The sequence below is a fragment of the Homo sapiens genome, chromosome 13 (assembly GCF_000001405.40).
Source record: "Homo sapiens chromosome 13, GRCh38.p14 Primary Assembly".
NCBI classification, from domain to species: domain Eukaryota; kingdom Metazoa; phylum Chordata; class Mammalia; order Primates; family Hominidae; genus Homo; species Homo sapiens.
In genome coordinates this window covers 82899402-82901325 of record NC_000013.11, presented here as the reverse complement: position 1 = coordinate 82901325, position 1924 = coordinate 82899402, and the positions used below count along the sequence as shown (strand labels likewise).

Below are 1924 nucleotides of genomic sequence, written 5' to 3'. Positions count from 1 at the left end.
TTACTTTGTACTCCCCCTCTACTCCCACCTTGCTTCCTATACACTTCTTTTTCAAAGAAAACATCGTATTTTCTACCAATTCATTTACATATCCATTTGTATACCTTATGCCTGATGCCTAATGACTCTTTGAAAGATAAACAGTTGCTTAATGAATAACTTTGATTAGTAAGACAGGAAGAATCAATTCTAAAGGTATATTTAGACTTTCTTTTCTCTACTGAAGGGGTTTATTGTTTTATTATTAGCTGTATTCATTAATTTATTAATTCTGTGTTCTTTCATATATCTTATTATTTATACAGAAGAAAATTATGAAATACCTGGTCTTACAGAATAACATATTCAATTATGCCGGCTGCAAAGATCAGTCATATTGGCCAATCAAATTGCTGAGCCTGCCACCAAATTGAATAGTTTCTTGAATGAATGATATTAATTGCTTTTCTATCATAATATCGACCTTCAGTATATGTGGCATACTCCTACATCCTTGTAAATGGTCTTCTTAAATATTAATGAGGACTGCCACTATATATAAAATTATCTTTATTCTACTATTGTTTACTGAGAAAATAGAATGCACTGGGTACTGTGTGTGTTACAAGTGTGAGTTCATTAAGTCTATATTTACATATGAATTGGACCTAAAGCAGGGAAAGGTGGCAAAGATCAGAACTCATGCAGCTTCATTTAAATCAGAATTATCTGACTCCCTATCTTCTGCACTTACACACAACTCATATTGTTTTAAATCACAGCTATTTTAGAGTATCTGGCAAGACCACCAGGAAATTTTAGCAAACAGAGGCATTAAGATAATTTTCTAAATGGGTGGAATCAATCAATCAACTCTTAGTTATTTAAAGGTTGCTTATTTGGCTCTTCATTCTCTCCCTTTTCTCTCTGGCTTCCTGCCTTTGGCCATTTCATTGCTCTTTAGCACTGCCATTAGAGATTTGGCATGAAAAGAGAACAAAAAAAAGATGAAAACTATATGAGGCTATTTAATTTCCCAATAGGCTTAGCAATTCTTATATATTCCTTCAGGTGAGTAGGATGTACTTTAGATTAACTCCGATACTCATTCAGAAGGTCACATACTTTCTAGCATTACACATTTTGCTCATCAGAAAATAGACATAGGTAAGTCCAAACGGACCTACTTCTAAGGGAGGAGACCACCCCTCTTATTGTCTTATGCCCAATTTCTGCCTCCAAAGAAAGAAGAAGTAAAAACTAAAAGGCAGAAATGAAATCCACAAGCAGACAGTCTGCCACCACACCCTGGGCCTAGTAGTTAAAGATCGACCCCTTACCTAATCGGTTATTTGCATAAGAAAAGCACTGTGAAGATCCCTGTCCTATTCTGTTCTGTTCTGTTCTGATTACCGGTGCATGCAGCCCCCAGTCACATACCCCCTGCTTGCTCAATCTATCACGACCCTCTCACATGGATCCCCTTAGAGTTGTGAGCCCTTAAAAGGGACAGGAATTGCTCACTTGGAGAGCTTGGTTGTTGGAGACGTGAGTCTTGCCAAAGCTCTTGGCCGAATAAAGCCCTTCCTTCTTTAACTTGGTGTCTGAGGGGTTTTGTCTGAGGCTTGTCCTGCTATACTTCAAAGTACAAAATTTTCCTTTTCAAAAGTTTTCAACCTTCAATATTCTATTAAGATCTTTGATTAACCAATTAATTTTGATTACTATAGCTATTTCATTATTTTATATTCCACTTACTTTTTCATTAAAGTTTTATTCAGAAATATTTCACATATGATAAAATTCACCCATTTCAATGAACTCATTTCAAGTGAATTTTAGTAACTACAATGAGTGGTGGGACCGTTAACATAAACTGATTTTTAAGCAATCTTATTCCCCCATTAAGATCTCACATACCAATAAATCCCCAATCTCACCCCCA

General features: G+C 35.7%; 2 annotated features.

Annotated features, from left to right (window-relative positions):
* Positions 383–1027: an enhancer, noted in NCBI's record as "OCT4-NANOG hESC enhancer chr13:83474434-83475078 (GRCh37/hg19 assembly coordinates)". NCBI's record gives its function as "activates a minimal SCP1, AML or CMV promoter by ChIP-STARR-seq in primed H9 embryonic stem cells {active_cell/tissue: H9 hESC(primed)}" and the evidence as "EXISTENCE:reporter gene assay evidence [ECO:0000049][PMID:30033119]".
* Positions 1028–1673: an enhancer, noted in NCBI's record as "OCT4-NANOG hESC enhancer chr13:83473788-83474433 (GRCh37/hg19 assembly coordinates)". NCBI's record gives its function as "activates a minimal SCP1, AML or CMV promoter by ChIP-STARR-seq in naive H9 embryonic stem cells {active_cell/tissue: H9 hESC(naive)}" and the evidence as "EXISTENCE:reporter gene assay evidence [ECO:0000049][PMID:30033119]".